The sequence below is a fragment of the Homo sapiens genome, chromosome 4, assembly GCF_000001405.40.
Source record: "Homo sapiens chromosome 4, GRCh38.p14 Primary Assembly".
Lineage (NCBI taxonomy): Eukaryota > Metazoa > Chordata > Mammalia > Primates > Hominidae > Homo > Homo sapiens.
In genome coordinates, this window is record NC_000004.12 from 102,776,462 (window position 1) to 102,800,775 (window position 24,314).

The 24,314-nt window shown below is 36.9% G+C and overlaps 1 protein-coding gene and 2 long non-coding RNA genes across 13 annotated transcripts in view; 1 reads left to right on the forward strand and 2 right to left on the reverse strand.

Moving 5' to 3' along the window:
* Window positions 1–575: 575 nt before the first annotated feature.
* On the forward strand, window positions 576–23,114 carry LOC102723704 (uncharacterized). Its single transcript, NR_125932.1, has 5 exons — window positions 576–762; window positions 1,436–1,960; window positions 2,347–2,884; window positions 3,313–3,420; window positions 22,967–23,114. It is a non-coding gene; the product is annotated as an uncharacterized LOC102723704 (long non-coding RNA).
* On the reverse strand, window positions 1,625–10,665 carry LOC124900743 (uncharacterized). Its single transcript, XR_007058208.1, has 2 exons — window positions 9,902–10,665; window positions 1,625–3,331 (listed from the first exon to the last, which is right to left on the reverse strand). It is a non-coding gene; the product is annotated as an uncharacterized LOC124900743 (long non-coding RNA).
* Window positions 17,922–24,314, reverse strand: part of UBE2D3 (ubiquitin conjugating enzyme E2 D3) — a 74,513-nt gene continuing 68,120 nt past the window's right edge. For 10 of the 11 annotated variants that reach the window (NM_181893.3, NM_181890.3, NM_181889.2 and 7 more), the window contains 2 exons: window positions 22,946–23,039; window positions 17,922–20,999 (listed from right to left, as the gene is read on the reverse strand). In NM_181893.3, coding sequence (NP_871622.1) covers window positions 20,954–20,999; window positions 22,946–23,039 — 140 coding nt within the window. In that variant the 3' untranslated portion in view covers window positions 17,922–20,953. Of the gene's footprint in view, window positions 21,000–22,466; window positions 22,517–22,945; window positions 23,040–24,314 lie in introns of all 11 variants that reach the window. The other variant, NM_181892.4, reaches the window with a different exon arrangement.

Genomic DNA, 24,314 nt, shown 5'->3' on the forward strand with positions numbered 1-24,314 from the left:
TCTCAAAGGCTTTCCAACCCCTAATAATACCACCTTAGGTATTAGAATTTCAACATATTAATATTGGGGTCAGGGAGTGGGAGCAGATCATAACATTAGGGAAATGCCAATCAAAACCACAATGACATACCATTTCACACCCACTAGGATGGCTATAATAAAAAATATGGTCAATAACAGGTGTTTGCGAGGATGTAGAAAAACTAGAATTCTTGTACATCACTGGTAGAAATGTAAAATGGTATGGCTTTTGTGCAAAAGAGGTTGGTGGTTCCTCAAAAAATTAAATGTGGAGTTACTATATGACCCAGAACTTTCAATCCTACATATATACCCAAAAGAATTAAACATATAGGCTCACACAACAAGTTGCGCACAGATCTTCACAGCAGTATTATTTATAATAGCCAAAAAGTAGAAACAGCCCAAATGTCTATTAATTGGCTCATGTATAAACAAAATGTGATATATGCATGCAATGGAATATTATTCAGCCATTAAAAGAAATAGAATGCTGATAATGACATCATATTGTATGATTCCATTTATAGGAAATGTACAGAATAAGCAAATCCATAGAAACAGAAAAGAGATAAGTGCTTGCCAGTGGTTGGGTATTGGAGGAATGGGAATGGCTGCTAATTGGTACGGTGTTTATAATGTGATGAAATGTTTTGGAAAGAGATACTGGAGATGATTGCCCAACCTCGTGAATATATTAACATCGACTGAATTGTACCCTTTAAAATGGTAGACTTCATGGTATGTGAATTATATCTTAATTTGAAAAAATTATTTTAAGGTACGAGTAATGTAGATTTCAGGAATCCCTTTATGTCTTAAAATGAATTTATTTTGACACTACACTTTGTTGATAGTTTGACTGAGTAAATAATTCTAGGTTCAAGAGGAATTATTTTTTTTTAAACCTTGAAGACCTTTACCCTACCATATTCTAGCTTTCATTATGGCTGATGAGATGTCTGATTTTTTCCCCCTTTCTTTATTTGCTTATTTTTCTTTCCCTCCTTCCTTCCTTCTTTTCTTTTTTTAAGAAGAACTAGAAATTCTTCCTGGAAACTTTTAGAGTGTCCTCTTTATCTTTGTTTTTCTGAATCTCACAGTTATGATTCTGACAGTGAGTGTTAGGTAGGAAGGGAAATAATTGATCTTTATCAACATGAATATTGCTTCTCTGTTCAACTTATAAAAATATTCTTTTTTAAAATTTATTTTTATTGAAGACTAGTTTATATACATTGAAATTCACACATCTTAAGTGTACAATTTGATGAGTTTTAGCAAATGTACATACTTGTGTAACTACCATTTCATGTGCTTTTTGGTCATTTGTATTTTTTTCTTTTCTAAAATGTTTGCCTAAGTCTCTTTCTCATTTACAGTGGATCCAATTTGTCAATTTTTTCTTTTACAGATTGTGCAAGAGGAAGATGTATGTCACGTCAAAGAATTATTTGCTAGTCCTAAGTCCTGAAATTTCTATTTTTTCCTAAACATTTTATGGTTTTATATTTTACATATAAGTTCATGAGTTAATTTTTGCATAAAGTATGCGTTTTAAGTTGAGCTTCTTTTTTTTGCTTACAAATGTCACTTTGACAAATTTTAAAACTGAGTTATCTTTATTACTGAGTTGTAAGAATTCTTTCCATCCCCTAGATACACATCCTTTGTCAGATGTATGTATTACAAATATTTTCTTTTGGTCCTGGCTTGTTTATTCATTTGCTTAACGGTGTCTCTTATGGTTTTACATTTTGATTAAACCCAATGTGTTAGTTTTTTTGAGGTTGGTACTTTTCGGTCTCATGGAAAAAAATCTTTGCCAACCCCACAGTCATGAAGATATTCTTCTGTTTTTCTCTAGAAGCCTTTTAGTTTTAGCTTTTGAGTTTAGGTCCATGATGCATCTCAAAATTAGTTTTTTGTGTAGCATGAGGTAAGGATTGAGACTAATCTTTTTCCATATGTCCATCTAATTTTTCCAGCACCATTTATTGAAAAGATTTTTCTTTCCTATATAATTTCCTATAGTAGCATTAAGACTAATATGGCTATGTACTTGTTTAGGATGCCCTTGAACTCCTGTAGGTTGGGATGATGACCACTGGTATGCCTCATTATCAAAAGTGTCAAATTCCTGCTGCCTCATGTCATTGGCTACTTGCACATAATAATTTTGTCTATCTTCAGGGTTCTGGTTTTCCTTCTCTTTCTCTTCTTCACAATTTGGGTAATAGTCATCTTTGCAGCCATCAGATTCCTAGCTGTTCATATTCAGAGGTATCTTGATGTGATGGGATACTTTGTTTACCCCCTTCGCAGGCAGGAACTGGAGTGGTTCTTTCACTCTGCCCACCGCTGGCCACTCCTCCGCTCAGGAGGGAGGGTGCGAGCGAGCAAGTGCAGGAACTGAAGCGAACAAACACTGGAACTGGCCAGAGTCCAAGCATGTTATGACCAATACTCTGTCAGATCAGCCGTCCAGGGACAGGGGAGTGCCAACCAGCTCACTGGAGGGTCAAGGTGGCAGCCTCTGACCTCTCAGCACCCAGGTTCTTGTCCAGCATCCAGGAAGAATCAAGTCACATGAACTGTTTGAGAGGTTGATGAATGCAGAAGACTTTATTGAGCAGTGGTTGGCTCTCAGCAGAAAAGGAGACTGAAAAGCGGTCGGGAAAATGATCTCTCTCTCCCTGAAGCCCGGCTGCCCCTCTCTGAAGCAGCCCTGTCTGAAGTTAGCCACATCTATCCATAGTCTCCAACGTTCAGTTGCTTCTCTGCTCGCTGCTCAGCCACTTGTGTTGCTCTGCCAGCTGAAGTCTTCTATGGGCACAGGATAGGAGCATGGCAGGCCAAAAAGGTAACATTTGGGCAGAAAAACGGGGTCAGCTGTTTTCACTTGGGGCCGCAGTTTCAGGCATATGGGTGGGGTTTAGCTGGGAGCCCAGCCCTTCTGTATCATTGACAGCCAAGTTTCAGATAAAAAAAGCTGCTTCCTTCCCTCACCCTCTAACTCTTTAAAACTTTATTACTTCCTCAAATGCATTAGAAATTTGTGTCTGTATTTTTCAAGGTCATACACAAAGGTATTACTAAAATTACCATATGATTTTCATTGAGAACTCAATCTTTTGGCAGCTAAGCATTAATCAGGTTAGCCAAGTTGTTCCTTCCAAGGAGGGTTCCGGGAGGGTACAGGTCACAGCCATAGAACAGGAAAGAAGCAGGCCAAAGCCGATATGTGATCCAGGCTGCTTTCTCCTTCTCTTGTTCCGTCATCATTTTCAGGTAACTTCATCTTGACATTCTGCAAAACATAATTCTGGTCGACTACATGAGTGGCATGATGCTAATGTGACTTATGAGCAAGAAGTGGCAAATACCCTACATGCCCAAGTAAGTACATAGTGAGAAATAATTCCATAGAGATTCAGAGGCCTACCATATTGTTGAAATTTTGAAGAATACAACAATCCAATACATGTGTTATAAGGTAAAGACGGGTGGTAGAATATTGCGCCATCTATGATAAATAAAGAGGCATAGGCCAAGCATGGTGGCTCACACCTGTAATCCCAGCACTTTGGGAGGCCAAGGCTGGAGGAGTAGGAGTTTAAGACTTAAACTCACTTGAGCGTAGGAGTTTAAGACTAGCCTGGACAACATGGCAAAACTCTGTCTCCACAAAAAATACAAAAATTTGCCAGGCATGGTAGTGTGCACCTGTAGTCCCAGCTACTTGGGAGGCTGAGGTGGAAGGATTGCTTAAGCCTGGGAAGTGTAGTTTGCAGTGAGCAGTGAGCTGTGATTGCACTTGCACTCCAGCCTGGGTGACAAAGCAAGACCCTGTCTTAAAAAAAAAAAGAAGGAAAGGGAAGAAGAGGAGGGGAGGGGAGGGGAGGGAAGAGGAGAGGGGAGGGAAAGAAAGAAAAAGAAAGAGGCATAATGGTTTCTGGGTTTCTTTGGATTTTGGAGAAAGCAAATACTATATACTTTGAGTGGGGACCAGAACTACAAGCAGGTCAAGACAATCATGCAAGCTGTTCAAACACTTGTGTCATGACATCAGCAGATCTGCTACTGCTGGAGATAATCCTGACCCTGAAACTGCTGACTAGGCTAGGTTAGGAGGTATAGAGTTCCACCCAATTAGAAGTTATGACTAATAAGTGTAACAAGTGGAGTCACTTTGGGTTACTCATTCTATTGAGCAAACAGGTGAAAAATGGAGTTAATGCACTGGCTAGGGTAATGAACTCTGAGCTAGAGTTACTACTACCTAATTAAAGCAGGGAGGATATGTCTGGAACCGAAGGGAGTCAGTGGAGCATCTCTTACCATTTCCATGCCCAGTGTTAATTGTCGTCGGGAAATTACAGACTCAGATGAAGTTCCATGCCACAGCAAATGGGATCGGGCTTTTCCAGTAACTGCCCAAATGTTCTTCCCCTCTTTCTCAGCCTCACTTCCCTTTTCTTACACTCTTACTATTCTGAGATGGAACCTCGCCCCCCAAAATATTAACAATTAAGCTTTGTTTGAGTCTCTATTTTCCAGAGGACTCAGGCAAAGGCCCCTTCCAACTTCTAGTCTTTAGTCATTCAATCATTCTAGGGCTGTCCAGTAAAAATTAGACAGCCTGAGGCTGAGCTGTTCAATAGAAACAATATGAGTGTCATATAAAATTTTTAAATTTCTAGTAGTCACATTTTAAAAAGTAAACAGGTGAAATTAATTTTACTTAAACCAATATACCTAATATGTTGTCATTTCAACACATATTTAATATAATAATGAAATAGTTTTTTTATATTAAGGTTTCAAAGTCTATTGTGAATTTTATACTTACAGTATATCTCAATTTGAATGTTAACTTATCATTGGAAATACTTGATTTATATTAGATTTCATAAATTTTACAATAAAAAAGATTCACATTCCCAAGTTGTTCCAAAATATTGGGAGACAATTCTCCATGGGTCTCTCATATTTCCGAACATCTTGTGAGCAGAGGCACTGGTTGTCTTTGTTCTGAACTATCTTTAAAGGATGTCTGTATATCAAATAGCCTTGGAAGACTGACATAGTGTCTCCCTCTGAAGCATGAGGTAGGTATGCTTATTGTCCAGATCATAAAGTTAATGTGCAGCTGTGCTTGCAGGACAGTTCTCCAGGTAGCGTTATGCCACCCAGTTCCTCCTCCTTTCTGGCTTGTAGTCCTCAAAAAGTGACTGTAGAATGTACTGGGAATGCAACACTCTAAGATGAGGAGGGACTGTGTAGGCTCTATTATAGTCTCTCTTCCCTAGCCCTCAGAACAGGATGTCCTTCAAAGCTCTGGCCCTGTGTGTTATGACCCCAAAGTATATAACCCAAGGTGGGCTGCCTTTCAGGGTCCCTCAGCTGTGGTGCAAGTAGGGCACACATTGTTGAGACTCTATTTGCCCTAGGTAAATAGAGCTTTCAAGGACTGGCTCACAATGGATCCTGGGCTTCTTTTGTCTCTTGCTGCCTATCTGCAATTAATAAATCATTTCATGTAACTAGTGGCATATGAGTGTGTTATTTCTTAACTCAGGTAAGTTGGTAACCAGTGTACAGTGAAGCTGCTTTGCATTGTTTACCACCATTGTAAAATATTTAGGTTCCCTGAACTAAGGATTCCTTACCTATAAGACAATCAGCTGTGTATACAGATGTCATTTGACCCTCTTTGTATTGCTCTGTAGGAATCAGGCAGAAATTGGTTCAAAGAAATACTGATTCTCTGACTATTGCTATTGCTGTGATTAATAATACTCCTTTGTCTTGAACCCAGGGGTTCTGTGCCTTTTTACCAGTATCTATAAAACTGTGGAAGGTTGATTTATCTTATAAGCAGGGTACAATCTCAGACCACTTACAGTTCTTGACACAAAAATACTTGAAAGTTTTCCAGTAACCTAAATTGAGTACCAGAAAAAAAAAATCACTTTCCTTTAACAGTCACATCCATATTAAAAAAAAAACTGCCTCATATTTTTTAGAAAATAATTGATTTGACTTTGAAAGCAAAAGCATATCAATTTCAAAACTATGTGTTCAAGTAAAGTACATTCACTAAATCTTACGTTGACTCAGTGGTATTGATATTGAATTCAAAAAGAGTATTTCATAAATTGAAAAGCAACTTGAAATTTCTCTCAATATCAATAGTGTTCAAATTTTTCTTGTAGTTCTTACTGTTAATTTATATAATACTTTTGATTTAATTAAAATCTCCTGCATACTGATTTGTTAGAAAATGTAAACTCTTTTAAAAATGCGTAAAATCATTATTATTGGTTTGTATTACCAAAAGTTTAAATTTCAATATAAATCCTTGTACTTGTCTAAATAGGTCACGAGCTTTTGATTTTCTTGGAGTTTCAAATTTAGTTTGTTCACATGCACTGTGATATTGATAAGAAAGCATAAATCACACGGCTGTATTTTTCTCTTTGATTATGGAATATTTGTACAACTTTGTAATGTTTATAGAACTCTTCCATAACTCAACCAATGAATATTGAGAAAGAACACAAGATAGCTAAATTCATTCTCTTCTATTTCTTTCAATTGTTTCATAAACTGGCAATGACTCACAGAATTTGCATGGATACACGGAATAATTTCAATAACTATATCCATTACCTCTTCATAGAGTTTGCTTCAGAAAATTGAGCCCAGATATTTTTAATATCTATCATACAGTGGAATGAAGCAATAAGAAATCATGAGTCACTTATTTCAAAATGCCAATAAATTTAGATTTTGACCTAACTTAGCTAGAGCTTTGTCTCTGATGATATAAATTAACTTTTTTTCCTTTAAATTATTTTCCAACAACTGTAAAAATAAAAAAAAAAAAAGAATTGGCTGGGTGCGGTGACTCATGCCTGTAATCCCAGCACTTTGGGAGGCAGAGGCAGGCAGATCACTTGAGGTCAGCAGTTCGAGACCAGCCTGGCCAACATGGTGAAACTCCACCTCTACTAAAAATACAAAACTTAGCTGGGCATGGTGGTGCGTGCCTGTAGTCCCAGCTACTAGGGAGGCTGAGGCGGGAGAATTGCTTGAACCTGGGAGGCAGAGGCTGTAGTAAGCCAAGATCCCGCCACTGCACTTCAGCCTAGGTGACAGAGTGAGACTCCGTCTCAAAAACAAACAAACAAATAAACAAACCGCATCATGAGTTTGATTCTTAGGCCATGAATTGATATTTCTCTGTAAATTTGGAAGTTCTTTGAGACACAACATACCCAAATATGGGCAGTATTTCTTATATTACCTGATTTGTCTATAGCTAAAGAAACCTATTTGCAACATTTTAAATTTTGAATCAATTGATTTTTGATAGTTAAAAAGATACTGCATTCTACAGACACTTGTTTGATAATTTAATTGAAAATCTTTTACTTTTTAAAAATATTGTTTTTAGCCATTTCTTCATAATTTTCTAACATTTCCATAAATGATATAATAGTTTATTTTACAATCTCTCCATCTAAAAAAATTGTTAGAGGGTGTGTGTGTGTGTGTGTGTGTGTGTAAGAATCCAAGACCTTTTATAACTGGCCATATTTACAAACTTGGATCCTGTCAGATATCATTTAAATTTTTTTGTTGTACTTTTAATTCTGAATTCAGGCAATTAATTTGATCAATTCTTTTTGACTGCTGAGAGGAAAGTTCTTATGATATTTACTATGTTTTTGCTAAAAATGTCTCTCATGACTGTGTATTTTATAATCTTAATATTGTTATACAACAGATAAAAAGTCTTTTCATTTTGCTCTGCCCTAATAAATTGCAATTGCCATTCATTGTGAATTTTGTAACATACCCTCTTCCAGACCGTTTATTCATTCCAGTCATAGTAGTACCTTTGACATCTCCACTGAATCCAATTTAAATGTAAAAATTTGTTCTTCCTCTTCTTTTTTTTTTTTTTTATGAGACGGAGTTTCACTCTTGTCGCCCAGGCTGGAGTGGAGTGGCGATGTCAGCTCACTGTAACCTCCACCTCCTGGGTTCAAGTGATTCTCTGGCCTCAGCCTCCTGAGTAGCTGGGATTACAGACACCTAACACCACACCCGGCTCATTTTTTGTATTTTTAGTAGAGATGGGGTTTTGCCATGTTGGGCAGGCTAGTCTTGAACTCCTGATCTCAGGTGATCCGCCTGCCACGGCCTCCCAAAGTGCTGGAATTACAGACGTGAGCCACCACACCCAGCCTCCACCACCTCCTCCTCCTCCACCTCCTCCCCCCACCCCAACCTCCTCCTCCTCCTCCTCCTTCTTCTTCTTCGTATTATTATTATTTTTTGGAGACAGAGTCTCAGTCTGTTGTCCAGGCTGGAGTGCAGTGGCATGCTCTTGGCTCACTGCAACCTCTGCCTCCCAGGTTCAAGCAATTCTCCTGCCTCAGCCTCCCTAGTAGCTGGGACTACAGGCACGTGCCACCACGCCTGGCTATTTTTTTTTATTTTTAGTAGATGTTGGCCAGGCTGCTCTCGAACTCCTGACCTTAGGTGGTTTGCCCGCCTTGGCCTCCCAAGGTGTTGGGATTATAGGAGTGAGCCACCATGCCTGGCCTATTTTTTAAGCTAGAGAAAATAATTTGATGATATAATTAAAATAAGTATTTAAATTTTATTACCAATTAAAATTTATATCTTTGTAACTTTCACTGTCTGCAAAAATATTTAAATAAATCAGTGCATAGGAACAAAACATCCAAATTGAAAAACCTGTAACTGACAATATTGATGATATATTTATATGTAATACTAGAGTTGACCTACATGCTCAACATACACTGTATAACAATGTCTTATATGATGCAATGGTTAAAGTGAAATGTTGCCCTAACCAAACTGTAAAGTTGGGTTTCATGGAAAACATGCTACTTTTCTTCAGTTTTTAATTTTAAAATGTGACACTAGCCACATTTCAAGTGCTCAGTAGCCATATAAGGCTAGTGACCCTCATACTGGAAAGCACAGCTGTAGGCAACAGAGATTCAGCAGTAAACAAAGCAAGAGAAAAATCCCTCTCCCCTTGGGCCTCAAGTTTTCTGTCTACTTATATTTTATTTACTTAAAAAACAACATAGAGCTGTATTTTGAATTTTTATTGAGTCTGAAAATCTTTGTACTTTGATTGGATAATTTAATCCAGTTACATTTATTTATTATGTTTATTTATTGGCAGGGTCTCACCCTGTCGCCTAGGCTGGAGTGCAGTAGTGCAGTAGTGCAATCATGACTCACTGCAGCCTCAACCTCCCCAGGCTCAGGTGATGCTCCCACTTCAGCCCAAGTAGCTGGGACCACAGGTGCATGCTACCATGCCTGGCTAATATTTCTGTATTTTTTTGTAGAGATGGGGTTTCTCTATGTTGCCCAGGCTTGTCTCAAACTCCCAGGCTTAAGCAATCCTCCAGCCTCGGACTTCCAAAGTGCTGGGATTACAGGTGTGAACAACCGCACCTGGCCCCAATTACTTTTTGAATAATTACTTATACAATTTGGAATTTTACCTACCATATTGTGCCTTCTACTTGTCCTGCCATCTCTAGATCTCTCTCATTTGCCTTTTTTTCTCCTTTGTCTATTGATTTCTTCTCTTCTAATTTAGAAATTATGCACCTTTTCTATTTTTTGTGTTTACCCTACATTTTAAAAGGCTTTTTATTTTGAGATAATTTCGGACTTATAGAAGAATCCACAAAATTAGTACAGAAATTTCCCCTATACACACTGACCAGATTCCCCTAATATCAACATATTACATATTCATAGAATAATCAAATGTAATTAACCAACACTGAAATAATATTATTAAATAATCTACCACTCATAGGGTGGAATGCATCCAGAGCATTTAGGCTGCACAGGAAGTTGCAGAGGGACTGGTAGATCTGTGTAGAGCACTGGGCCACAGGTGAGCTATGCACAGGTTGTGCAGAGGCTGGTAAAGAGTGACTTCAGATGTGTGAGTCTCCAGGCCACAAACGTCAGTGCAGGCCATGCAAGAGCTTTGGTTTCCTTGTGAAGAGGGGTGCAAAAAGGTTATCAGCAGGCCAAAGCTGCAAGGTCACAGACAGATTGTGTTTTGGGCCTGTGGATATTTACTGGTTGTCTTCATACTCACACTAGCCAACCCTCAGCCCATAACAGGAATAGCAGGAGAACCTCTTCCTCTGTAGTATTCCTCCAATGCCCTTTACTTAGAAAGATTAACATCGTGCCCACGTTAAAGGAGGGACTCTGAAAAAAATTCAGTTGCCTATCACAGAAGATATACAGTAACAGATGTTCCTTGACTTATGATGGGGTTACATTTCAATGAACTCATTGTAAATACAAAATATCATAAGTCAAAAATGCATTTAATACACTTAAGCTACCAAACATCATAGCTTAGCCTAGCCTACTTTAAATGTGCTCTGAACACTTAACATTAGACTTGTTTTGGATTATTTTATCTTACTGTAGGCTATTTTATAGTAAAGTGTTGACTGCCTCATGTAATTTATCGAATACTACATTGAAAATGGAAAACAGGGCCGGGTGCTGTGGCTCATACCTGTAATCCTAGCACTTTTGGAGACTGAGGCAGGAGACTTGTTTGAGCCCAGGAGTTCAAGACCAGCCTAGGCAACATTGGGAGACACTGTCTCTACAAAAAATATAAAAACAAAAATTAGTTGGGTGCAGTGCATGTGCTTGTGGTCCCGGCTACTCGGGAGGGTGAGGTGGGAAGACTGCTTGAGCCCAGGAGGTGAAGTCTGCAGTGAGCCATGATCGCACCACTGCACTCCGGCCTGGGTGACAGAGTGTTTCAAACAAGAAAAAAAAAAAGAAAAGGAAAAAACAGAAAAATTGTATGGCTACTCAAAAGTATGGCTTTTACTGAATGCGTATCATTTTGCATCATCATGAAGTCAAAAAATTGTAAGTCGAACCATTGTAAGTCAAACACCATCTGTAGTATCCCTTTATCTATGGTTTCATTTTCTACAGTTTTTCTTACCCATGATTCACCATGGTGTGAAAATATTACGTCTCTACTCTTGTGCTTTGGGAACATTATTAAGTAAAAAAAGTTATTTGAACACAGCACTGTAATACTGTGATAGTCCATGTGATTACCAAGATGGCTACTAAGTGACTAACAGAAATCTGAGCAGGAAGGAGTGGGATGGCATGAGATTTCATCATGTTACTGAGAACACAGTGCAATTTAAAACATGAATTGTTTATTTCTGGAATTATTCATTTATGTCATCATGCTTATGTCATTCACTTCATTTAGGCATTTTATCTCATATAATCACAAGAAGGGTTAGTACAGTACAATAAGATGTATTGAGAGTTCACATTCATCTTATTACAGTATATTGTTATAATTGCTGTATTTTATTATTAATCTCTGTGGCTAACTTATAAACTTTATCATATATATATATAGGAAAAAACATAGTGTATAGTGGGTTTAGTTCTATCTGTGGTTTCAATTATCTACTAGGGGTCTTGCAATGTATCTCCCAAGGATAATGAGGAACTACTTTATTGAAAGGCGCATTTGGAGCCTGGAAGCAGTAAATTGAATTCGAATTCAAGCTCCAATTAGCCATGTGTTAGACCAAGTTATTTTTCCATGGTTCTTAAGCTGTTACTTTCATCTTCATCTTCGTGCTACATTCAGAATGATTTTCTCATATCTTTCATTCCTCTAATTCTTTACTTAGCTGTGTCAACTAGGCTATTAAACCTATCCTTAAGTTTTAATTAGTTTGTTTTCTAAATTCTGGAAGTACTGCTTTTGGTTATTTTTCAAATCTGATTGATCATTTTAATAGCCTCTTGCTCTTTATTCATATTTTAAACTTATTTTATTTCACCCATAATGATAGAGAGGTAAGATTCTGGAATCTGATTATCTAGATTTAAATCCCAACCTCTACCATTAGATGAGTAACTTTGGGCAAATAATAACCTCTTTTCCTCAGTTGCTTCATCTATAAAATAGAAATAATATAAGCATTTAAATAAGTACACAAGTTTGTTATCAGAATTAAGAGTTAATATTATGTAAAGAATTGGCCGGGTGCAGTGGCTCCTGCCTGTAATCCCAGCACTTTGGGAGGCCGAGGGGGGCGGGTCACCTGAGGTCAGGAGTTTGAGACCAGCCTGGCTAACATGGTGAAACCCCATTTCTACTAAAAATACAAAAAATTAGCCAGGCGTGGTGGCAAGCACCTGTAATCCCAGCTACTTGGGAGGCTGAGGCAGGAGAATCGCTTGAACCTGGGAGGCAGAGGTTGCAGTGAGCCGAGATCATACCATTGCACTCCAGCCTGGGCAACAGCAGCGAAACTCCGTCTCAAAAAATAAATAAAATATCTGTGTGTGTGTGTGTGTGTGTGCGCGCGCACGTGCGTGTCTGAAGAATTTAGAAAAGTGCTTGACACTTAAAAGTATTACATAAATGTTGGTTATTACTATCTTTTGTCACTGATATTTTAAGGTGAAATTCACATATTAACTATTGTAAAATGCACAATTCAGTGTAATTTCATGTGTTCACAATGTTGTATAGCCATAACTTCTAGTTCCAAGACATTTTCACCACCCACAAGAGACTACATACCCATCAAGCAGTCATTCCCCATTTCCCTATCTTCCTAGTAGCTGAATCTGCTTTCTGTCTCTATAGAACTATTCTGGATATTCATATAAATGAAATTATACAATATGTGACCTTTTATGTTTTGCTCCTTTCTTTTAGCAAAATGTTTTTAAGGCCCATCCACATTATAGCATGCATCAATACTACAATCTTTCATGTGGCTGAATAATATACCATCGTACGGAAATACCACAATTTGTTTCATTGTTTCCATCTTTTGGCTATTGTGAATAGTGAGTGCTGCTATGAACATTCATTTACAAGTATTTGTTTGAATACCTGTTTTCAGTTGTTTTGGGTACGTAACCAGGAATGAAATTGCTGAGTCATACAATAATTCTATGTTCAACTTTTTGGGGAACTGCCAAACTGCTTTCCACAGAAGCTGCACCATCTTACATTCCCACCAGCATTGTACCAGGTTTCCAGTTTCACAAAATCCTCACCAGCACATTTTCTATTTTAAAATTTTACAGCTATTCTATGGGGTAAAAAGTGATACATCATTGTGGTTTGGACTTGCATTTCTCTAATAACTAGTATGTTGAACATCTTTTCATTTACTTACTGGCCATCTGTTTATCTTATTTGGGAAAATGTTTAAATCTTTTGCCTGTTTTTAAATAGGGTCATCTTCTTGTTGAGTTTTAAAAATTCTTTATTCTGAATACTAGAGCCTAATCATAGATGATTTGAAAATTTGTGTCCATTCTGTAGGTTATCCTTTCATTTTTATAATGTCTTTTGACACACGTTTATAATCTTAATGAAGTCCAATTTATCTTTTTCCTTTGGTTGTTTGTGCTTTTGGTGTCATCTCTAAGTATTGCCAAATCTAAGAACACAAAGATACACTCTCATTTTCTTCTAAGAGTTTTATGGTTTTAGTAGCTCTTACATTTGTGACTTTGATCCATTTTAATTTTTGCATAAGATGTGAGGTAGGGGTCCAAATTCATTCTTTTGCATGTAGATATCTGGTTGTCTCTACACCATATTGTTAAAGAGACTATTGTTTCCCATTGAATGGTCTTGTCATCTTTGTCAAACATCAACTGACCGTAAATGTATGACAATTTCTGGCCTCTCAATTCTATTCCATGAGTCTATGTGTTCCTGTGTATGCTATTTTGATTACTGTAGCTTTGTATTAACTTTTGAAATAGGGAAGTATGAGTTCCTTACTTTCATTCTTTTTAAAGATTGTTTAGCTCCTTGCAGTCCTTTGCAATTCCGTATGAATTTTTACACTTTATCATTTCTGCAAAACAGTCATTGGGATTTTGATAGGGGTTGCATTGAATGTGTAGATTGCTTTGAGAATCACTGTCATTTCAGCATATTAAATCTTCAAATCCATGAACACAGGATGTCTTTTCATTTATTCAGGACTTCTCTTTCAGAAGTTTGATAGTTTTCAGTGTACATGTTTTTGCATTTCCCTTATTAATTTTTTCTTTTTTTGAAATAGAGTCTCACTCTGTCACCCAGGCTGGAGTGCAGTGGCATGATGTCGGCTGACTGCAACCTCTGCCTCCCAGGTTTAAGCAATTCTCCTGGCTCAGCCTCCCGAGTAGCTGGGACTACAGGTGCACGTCACCACACCCAGCTATTTTATTTTTTTTGTATTTTTAGTGGAGATGGGGTTTCACCAAGTTGGCCAGGCTGGTCTCAAACTGCTGACCTCGTGATCTGCACGCCTCGACCTCCGAAAGTGCTGGGATTATAGGTGTGAGCCACTGCACTGGGCCCCTATTCTTTTTGATGCTATTGTATATGGAACTTTCTTAACATCATTTATGGATTGCTTAGAATTAATAATTATTTACAGAAATACAACTGATTTCTCTGTGCCAATCTTGTATCCTGCAAATTTGCCTAATTCTATGAGCGCTAAGTGGTTTTTATGATTTAGGATTTTCCATATACAAGATGTCACTTATTTAGTCTTCCTTTACAATTTGACTAATATTTTTAAAATATTGATATTTAATGTTTTGATTCTTGCAAATTGGTTGGCAACTCATGGTGCTACATTACCTTGTACTTTTTCTTGCTGGTTTTAAAATGTGAGCTATTATGCAATTCCTACAGTGTTTGCTTCTGCCAGTAGCTGGTTGTTTTACTAATTTGGAATCACTCTAAAAATTAAATCCTCTGCTTGAATTTCCTGGGACCACCTAAGCCTGCAAATCTTCACAAAGCCCAAACTGTTATTACAAATTCTCGCAATATTCTCCTGTCACAGAGCACCAAGTTTCAAGATAGGTAGAGTCCTAGTTGTACTAGGAATGGGTTTCTCGTATTTGACACCACTTTTGGGTGCATCCTGGGCTTTGCCAGAGTCATGAAAATTAAAGGTCAGCTGGGCATGATGGTTCACGCCTGTAACCCCAGCACTTTGGGAGGCCGTGGCGAATGGTCTTGAGCCCAGGAGTTCAAGAACAGTCTGGGCAACATGGCGAGTAGCCCCAACTACTCAGGAGGCTGAGGTGGGAGGATTGCTTGAGTCCAGGAGGTCGAGGGGTGTATCACTGCACTCCAGCCTGGGTGATACAGCAAGACCCTGTCTTGTAGAAAAAATGAAAAAAGTTCACTTGGGGTAGGTACTTCAAGTGTTTTCAAAATGCAATGCAAGCTGGTTCTGGGTATGTTCTGTTTTCTTCTGGGTTCTTGGTTTCAGTTTGGTTTTGGTGAGAGTACTCCTTCCTTTCTTGATAGAACATTGACACATCGAAAAAAAAAAAAAAAGTTTTCCCCCAGCAAGTGGTTGCTTTTTCAAAGGATTTATCAGGGTAATCATCCAGGCTGACAGAATCTGAACTGCATTATTTTACTTACAATAAAGAAGGTCTGATTAACAAATTTTTAATAGTATATTAGTTTTCTTTGTTCTTTTGGAGTTAGAAATGAAGCAAGCAAAAGATTAAACATTTTCCCTAAGAAGATATACAAATGACGAGTAAGTACATGTACCTTTGACAGACTACCATTTGGCCCAGTCATTTGTGTTAAATATTTGATCACCTAAAATGTTGCAAGTAGTCATCTCGTCATTGATAAATAAGAGAAAAAAAATCTGTCCTCATAGAACTGGGGTGGCGCTGAGGGTGAGACAATTATTACCTATAAGATAGATAATACTGAATATGCCATGATGTACTCTATAGAGGTGATGCTGTGTTGGTGTATTTATAGAATAGTCAAGAAAAACCACTCTGATAAGGTATTTGAATAGAGACCTAGTTAGGGAAAAGGAAGCTGTATGGTATGTGGGGTAAGATCATCCTAGGCAAAGGTAAGAACAAGAGTAAACATCTTCACACATCTTTGCAAGTCTCAGCAGTCCCATGTGACTGAGCTGAGAGAGTTGGAATGGTGGTGAGACAAGCAAGGAATTGGGGATTAAGCTGAGGCAAAGGTAGGGAAGAAAGTTATCTACAGCCTTGTAGATTACTTTTAATACCTTGTGTTTTTACTCCGAATGAGATGGGAAACCATTAGGTTTGGAGGAAAGCCATGCCATCTGATAAGGTTTAAAGGGGTTGTGTGTGGGACAGACAGATTGCTGCAACGTGGGGAGATCACTCAGGAGGCTACTCCAATAATCCAAATAAGAAATGATATAGCTTTAGATCATAGTGCTAACAGTCAACATGATAAATGGGCAGATTCTAAAGGCTGCTGTTAAGTCTGATTGAAGGTGGAGTGTGAAAAGTCAAAGATGGTGCCTAGGTTTTAGGCCATTGCAATTTAATGTTGACATTTACTGAGCATGGGGTAATAGTATATGTATATGTGTATGTCTTTATAGACATATGTCCAGTTTTAGACATTTTAAAAGACGCCCTTTAGCTTGTCATGTGGATAATGAATAGAAGCTATATGGGAGCTCAGGAGAAATAGCTTGAAGGTTAGTAAATGACGGTGGTTAACTGGGCTCCTAAGATAGTATGACATGAAAGTTCATTGTTTAGCCTTGACTACAAATTTGATACGGTAAATGAGAAATCAAGTTCTATAGAGGATCAGACAGTAGTACGTAAAAATGTAAATTTCATAATATTTTTTACAATACAGAAAAGAGGGCTCTTAAAAAATCTCATTCATAAATAGCATACAGTTTGGGAAGATCTAGATACTGATAATGGGACTTTAATGGAAGCATCCCAAGTAAAAGAACAATTGTCAGAAACATCTTGTATACCTGAATCATATAAAATTTTTCAAACCTGAGGCCAGAAATGAGCAAGTAGTTATAAGGTAGCAACAAATAATGCAACACAGTAATAATTTCTAGGGACTTAAGACATTCGGCGAACTTCAATATATTTAAGTCTTTTTGTTAAAATGGTTCCTCAAGTTTTTTTGGCAGGGGGTGGCACTGTCATGTTTTGAAGCCATTTCCAAATACCTTTAACCGTTGATTTTTCCATTACAATGGGACAGCACGAGAAATCTTAATAGTCACCTTAGGGTACCTTTAATATCTGTCAAACACTGCAAACACCCTTAACATAGCATCATTTCCACTTGGAAAAATTGCCTAGTGTCAGGCCACAGAATGGGATCTGGGTTCAAATTTGTTCAGCTAGCCAACACAATACTTAGGTAGATCTTTGCACCTGATTACTTTTAAATACTTGACGATTGGTTGAATTCCATGCCAGTATGGTTATTCAAATTAGCCAACTGTAGGACGTTAATGTATTTTAATATTCCAAGTGTAAATGTGGAAATCAATGTACTGTATTACAATTCAAAGTACTAGGAAATTGTCAGGTATCAGAAACGTAATACTTAAACACATTCTCTAAAGCCAAAAACAGCTATAAAAAAATAGCTGTAGAGTCAAAGGATTACTGGTTGTAGTCTGTTACAAGGGAATGCTACGAACAGACTTCTGAAAACGGTTCTCAATCTTCACTATTCATCAGAATCACTTGGAGGGTGTTTTAATATAGGTGACTGGGCTCCATGCCAGTTTGACTCAGGACTGGGATGGGGCCTGACAACTTATATTACAAAGAATTTCCTAAATGATGCTGAGATTGTTATCTCAAGAAACATTTTGAGAACCACCTTATTCATAAACTGTATAAAATTAAAAATCGAGCTCACACACATTAAGCTCAAGTGTGGATTTCATGTTAGCTGGAATTACCGAGTAAGACCAAAGTGTCTTTAAACACAGACTTTAATGGTAACAATTCCTTTAAGCTCAATTAACTTCAGCTATTACAAGTCTTATGCAGATGTCACTATTAGACAATATTTAGTGACTTGCACTGGGTTCCTCATAAAAGACAAATTCACTTAAAAGTGTAATCAACAATCATTAACAGTTTTGTTATGCCAACACAAAACATGGCTGAGTTACCCCCCTCCCCGCCCAAATTACTAACACAGCATGATCAGTACCTTAAGTATACTTCAACTAAGCCATTTCAACAAACAAAAAAAAACAAACAAAAAAAAAAGTGAGTGTTTCACTACCCCTGAGACCACTAGTTAACTGTGGTTCATACTTTAAAATGTGAGTACACCCACACAAGAAAGCAAATTAATCAGTTTTAAAAAATCTGATTATCACATTGCAAACTCGCCCAGGAAAAACAAACTGAGTCATTTAAAATGTAAATTTACCATTAACAGGCCAACTGGACCCTAATTCGGTTTATGCATTAAAAGATTTAGGAAATACAAAGACATAGTCAAAACTGATTCTAATACTCAGTTGGGTCCTATACATGGCACTAGTAATGTCAAATTACTGGGTGGAGTGGGGCAAAGAGGGCAAATTCTTAGATTCTTTTAAGATTTCATTGTACATATCTCATGTCCAGTGTCCATACATTCAAAAATGTTGGTTTTCCAGGTACTTTACTGTTCTTTTAAACCTGGAGAAGCCTCTATGGCTTATTCCCTTAGAAGCAACAAATGAAATGATGTATAAAGCATCAAGTCAAAGATACAGAGAACTGGACACATCCACTAATTGTTATGACAATCAAAGAAGTCATCTCCGTAAATACCTAAGGGTTGTCTAAGGCTATAAAGGTCAATTTGAAAGCCAGTTAGGGATCCACCGTGTTTCATAAAAGTGTCTTACACTCATGTTTGGCTTTCAAGAAGTGATATGCCTACTAAAGCTGTTATTTTGAGACTATATGCATCTCAGAAGTAATTTTGAAAATAGAGCCAAAGAGCAGTTTTTCTTACCTTGTGGAGCAGAATGTTAACTAATTTCTCATTCATAATTTGAATCCAAAAAAGTTATGCAGTATGACATCTACCCTGAAGGAGCCGTTTTAAGCAAAACACAAAATGAAAAAATTCACTCATTGGAAAAACTGCGTAGCTGGTTTTTTCCCCAATGAAATGATTACAGAATTAACAAAGCCAGAACATCTTCAGAAGGCATGCATTTCACTTCCAGTTTAGAGAAGAACCTTAAGTCAATAAATCATGTCCAAACTACATATTAAAATGTTTATAAAAAGTAAGTTTTAACATTTATTTCTAGCTTTCCACATGTGTGTGCAGACAAGGAATAAGATTGCACGTAAGTGTAAGCAGTGCAAAAATGTGGAAGTGGAGGAGTCACAGATGTGCTAGAACTTTAAGAAATAAAGCAGTGAACAAAATCAAAATAAACAGGAAAAATGTAAAACTATGGGATCAGAATTAGGAAAGGTGAAGAATGGTAATGCCCTTGTTACTACAGAAGTTAAATCAGTGGCACAGATAGCACTTGTCAAACAAAAAACAATCCAATAGCATTGACTTTTATTCATTCATGTTAAGTCACCTGAAATGATATCTGTTGCATTTAAATGCTCATTAATGTAAATGGCTGAACAAATCCATTTCAATGGATACTCAATATCCCACATAGATAAGTCACTTCAACACAGCCTCATGACAACTCCCACACCAAAACAGTACTTTATTTTGCAAATTTTGACCCATTATTACTCCCATGTTGTTTTTTTTCAGCTGTCAAGTGTACAAGGTGAAGAGAAATTTCAGTTAGACAGGGGCTGCACCTGGAAAATAAATTTCTTAAACTCCATAAACACATTTCAAAACTGCTGGGTCCCAAAAGTCCATCTATGAACTCTAGGGCTGCCAGTATCATGTGCAGCACATTAAAGCTACACTATCCAAATAGCTTATTAATTCTGCATAAATCAGGTCAAGCAATGTGTCAACCTGTAACAGACTGTGCACTTTAACTGAACATGGCAAAATATTCACTCTTTCGAACTTTACATCATCATTTGATGTCAAACAATGAAGCAAATCCCAACAGTATATACAAAAAACAGCTTTGCATTTACAAAAGATTGTTTCCCATACTGATTAATCCAGGCAGCTAACTCATTGGTTTATGCAACTTTATTGAAGAAAAATAAATCAATTACTAGCAGAGCTATTAGTTGATCACTCATCCATTGACAACTTGCATCATTTATTCAGTGCTATATTAAACAGTGTATTGGAAGATAGATTAACTAATAGCTCCAAGCCTCCTAACAATTTAAATGAAAATTACAAAATGTTTGAGACCCTATTTTGGAATACAAAGGGTGTTTGACTTCCAATTTCCATTCTCTGTAGAACAAGAACAGGTCATTCCTTTATTGACATGCATAAAATACATCACATTTTCTGTTCTGCTGATGCTATAAATTCAATACCAATTCTCCAGCCACATCAGTTATGAGCATAAAGCATATCATGTAACCTCAAATCTCTAACAGTGGAAGGCTTAAACAAGAATGGATGCTGCTAGAATAATGCTGTATCCTTTGATGTGACAACTGAGCATCCATCTCCCTCCCCCTCAGATGATTTCTTCAGCATGTTAGAGCAGTGAGGAATGGTTTTAGTCTCATAACCAAGTTAGAGTGAAGACATTGGCCACATAATACACATGCTCCATTTTTTTTTTTAAAAATTCTGAGTCTTGGGCAACTGTTCTCTTGTAACTACTTTACAGTTTCTAAAAGCAGTTATTGTCCAAAGCTGGAAGAACTTAAGTCTTCTCAGATGAGCATGTGAATGAATGGAGGGAGGTAAACAAAAAATAAAATTAAAAAAGATGAGGTCTGATAGGGGAGCAGCCGGATAAGAAAATCAAAAAAGGAACAGTAATTTAAAGTTTATTCCAGCTATAATGCAGGTTATTCTGACTTTAAGGTAGCATCACATGGCATACTTCTGAGTCCATTCCCGAGATATTCTGTTGTACCTGTAAATAAAGATGTTATTTTTAAAAGTTAAAATAAAGAATTCCTAATACTTTAAATGGAAGGGAAAGATTTCCATTTTATCATCTCCAGACTCATCATGAAGTCATCTCTAATGACTATGATTAGAATAAAAGCCAACAAGGGAGAAATAGCACTGGTACTCAAAGCAATGTGGGAAATGAGAGCCTGATGCTCTGAAAGTAGTATTTTAAAAACAACTAAGAAAGCAGCACTGAAAATTGGGAGGCTAACAAAAATCAAAAGACCCTTTCTTTCTCTACCACCGAGCTCATGCTCTAATTTTAACGTGAAGAAATTTTTACAGTTCATTATGGACAAATGTTAAAATAGTATACACATTCTATCTATCCACAGAAATTTCCACCAAGGCCAGAACTAGGCTTTTACTAGAACAATTTTATCTGAATCCTAGAGTTTGGGAAATTACTTGGTCCTGGATATTACAAGAAAAAATGGCTTTGGGACTTAGGTAGAGGCAGAAGGGGAAGATGACACTGGGCAGAATGACAAAGGGCAGTAATTTTCAAAAGGGGTGTGTGTGTGAGTGGTTGTGTTCATCAGAATCACGTGTTACTTTTAATAAGTGTGGTAACTGAGGCTAATAAGCACCACTGAGACCTGTTGAGTACAACAAGGGCATCTTCGTTTAAAAAGATCAACAGGTAATTCACACACAAGCAAGGTTATTACTCAGGAAGACTACTAACATTGATAAATACTATCAGCTTCCCCCTGGATTATACTCATGCCATAGACTACTTACAACAACAAAAAACAGTGATAACCTTAAGAAATGAATATATATATATATATATGCACAGGAGAATTTTTATATTGTTTAAATATTAACTAGCTTTATTTCAAACCAAGAACCAAATATGGTCCAACAACTTTCCTAAACTTTTTAAAAAGTTCTTTCTACCAATTCATTGTCATCTCCTAAGGATACTCTCTCAAAAAGCCAGCACTTTAAAACAAAGGCTTTATTTAGCATACAGGGAGCCACAAAGTACAGCTGACGCTAATGCATGCTTGTCAGTAATGAACATTTAGTTTAGATGCTTAGGCTTAAAAGTGTTTTTCCCTTACATTACTATCTCCCGGCAAAATTTGAACTAAACCACCACATTCTGTATAGGATTGGTACAAAGTCTCAAGCTAAAATTTAAACACCATGATAGTTTGAAAAAAAAAAAAGATACTACATAAATTCCCATTTCTTACTAGTGCTATTGTAACTGCTTTGCCATGCAGTACTTTCAAGCAATAACGGCTACCAGATATTTACTTTCACGTTAAACAGAGACCAAGCAGTTAAATGTACAGTTTTCAGAAGACTGCCATATTTGTTACCTTTTGTTAGTTAATACAGTGCCTTAACGCATGCAGCACTCAAGTGCTGGCAGTACCATAATAAGCGCACCATAGAGTGCAGATCCTCTTACCCTACAACATAGCGTATTTCTCTGTCCACTCTCTTGCTAACCTATTGTACCTAATTGAACAAGTACACTTAGCATTAATTATAACATATGAAAGTTATAATGGTTAAGTTGAACATAAATATAATTCAAATATTTGAGAAATTTAGACCAAATTTTTACAATAGTACTAACATTTTTGGAAAAACATGCTTGGGGTAAAGAAAAATTTGCTTTCTTCCCCAAAAGTTGAGAATAAAGTGATACTGTTTAACACGCTAGGAAAAAAAAAACAACAATAAAACATTTTAGAGGGGAGCATTCACTGTCACATAAGCTAAAGCCTAGTTAAGTTTTTTTAAATAACCACATTTCAATAGCTTTCTCCATATTTTAACTATTATCTTACTAAATATCAAGTCTTCTTGGCACTGTCACAAGCAAAGTATAAGCCTAACTCATTAAGTAAAACCACTTTTATAATAACTTTTTAACATACTTACTTATCTCTGTCTGTTTTATAGATCCGTGCAATCTCTGGCACTAGGGGGTCATCTGGGTTTGGATCACATAGCAGTGAACAAATGGATAAAAGAACTGCAAGAAAACAAAAACATCTGTTACCCAGTTTCAGGAGTTTGGATAAATAAATTTTTCTAAACCGTGTATTACAAAACTCAATCCTCAAAAGACTTTTATTAGTTTGTATCTTTATCTCAATGAGACACAGTTTTACAGAGATTTTGTTTCACAGAAGACAAGCTCCTGGTAAGTAAGAAGTGCTAAAAACAGGGTTTTGTGGCATGAAATTCACTGCAGACTAGCCATAAAAATAGTTTCTAAGATAGGCAACTGATGCCATATTAATATATATATTTTAAATAGGCATAAATGATATTAGAACTTGAGTTTCTTGGTACTCAGTGGCTGGGGGGGGGGGGACTTTAGCAAGAATATGCAGGTAACACTCATGCCATATTCATAGCCATTAGGCATGATGAAAAATCCATTCTTAGCCGTTGTCTTGGCAATTTCTGAGAAAAACCCTCAAGTGCTCCACTAAATGTCTCCTTGAACTTGTAAGCAAGAAACCATATTCCCAAGAGTACTAGTTAAATACAATGCCAAAATCTCTTTAGTACTAAGTGAGTCATCAGCTCTAGTTTTTACCTTAACCAGTTCAACATACTGATGTATAAGATGTCAAGCATTAAGGAACATAGATCGCATTCACTTTGAGTGCCTGCTATGTGCCAGTCACCATATATGGTGGTGCTGTTATAAAATGTTAAGATATAAATGCTTGAAATGGTTCTGACCGATTTTTTTTTAAAAAAAGCAATAGTATAAAAAAGACAACACTGTCACATATTTATTGACTACAGCAAATTTAATTTCAAACCCCAAATACAGCAGAATATAAAATTACCTAATATAGGAGACTTGGCTATACAATAACTCACAGAAAAAAGGTAGCTTCAGTTGTGACTGCTAGTTTAATAAGTTAGCAAAGTATGGCTGCCAAAAAAGTAAGTTGCTTTAACGACAAAACAATACCAATTCAATCTGCCCTTACAAAAACAGTTTTCAGTGTTACTGTACACTCCCAGCAGTAGTAGAAAAACTTGGAAACTGATATTTAGGTATGTAGCATGATTTGAAAAGAAATTAGAAAGCATCCAAGAAGGTGAAAAACAGGTGTAAAATTTTAAAAACACTCGAATTATGGCAGCATCTGCCTAAGTTGTTTCTTTTTCTCCCTTAAGTGATTCTACTCAATAAAGTTTGGGAAATGCTACTGCTACAGTCTCTCTCCATGAGATTCAAGTGCAGTATATACACATATGAAACTTTTATACAATGCCTTGCCTT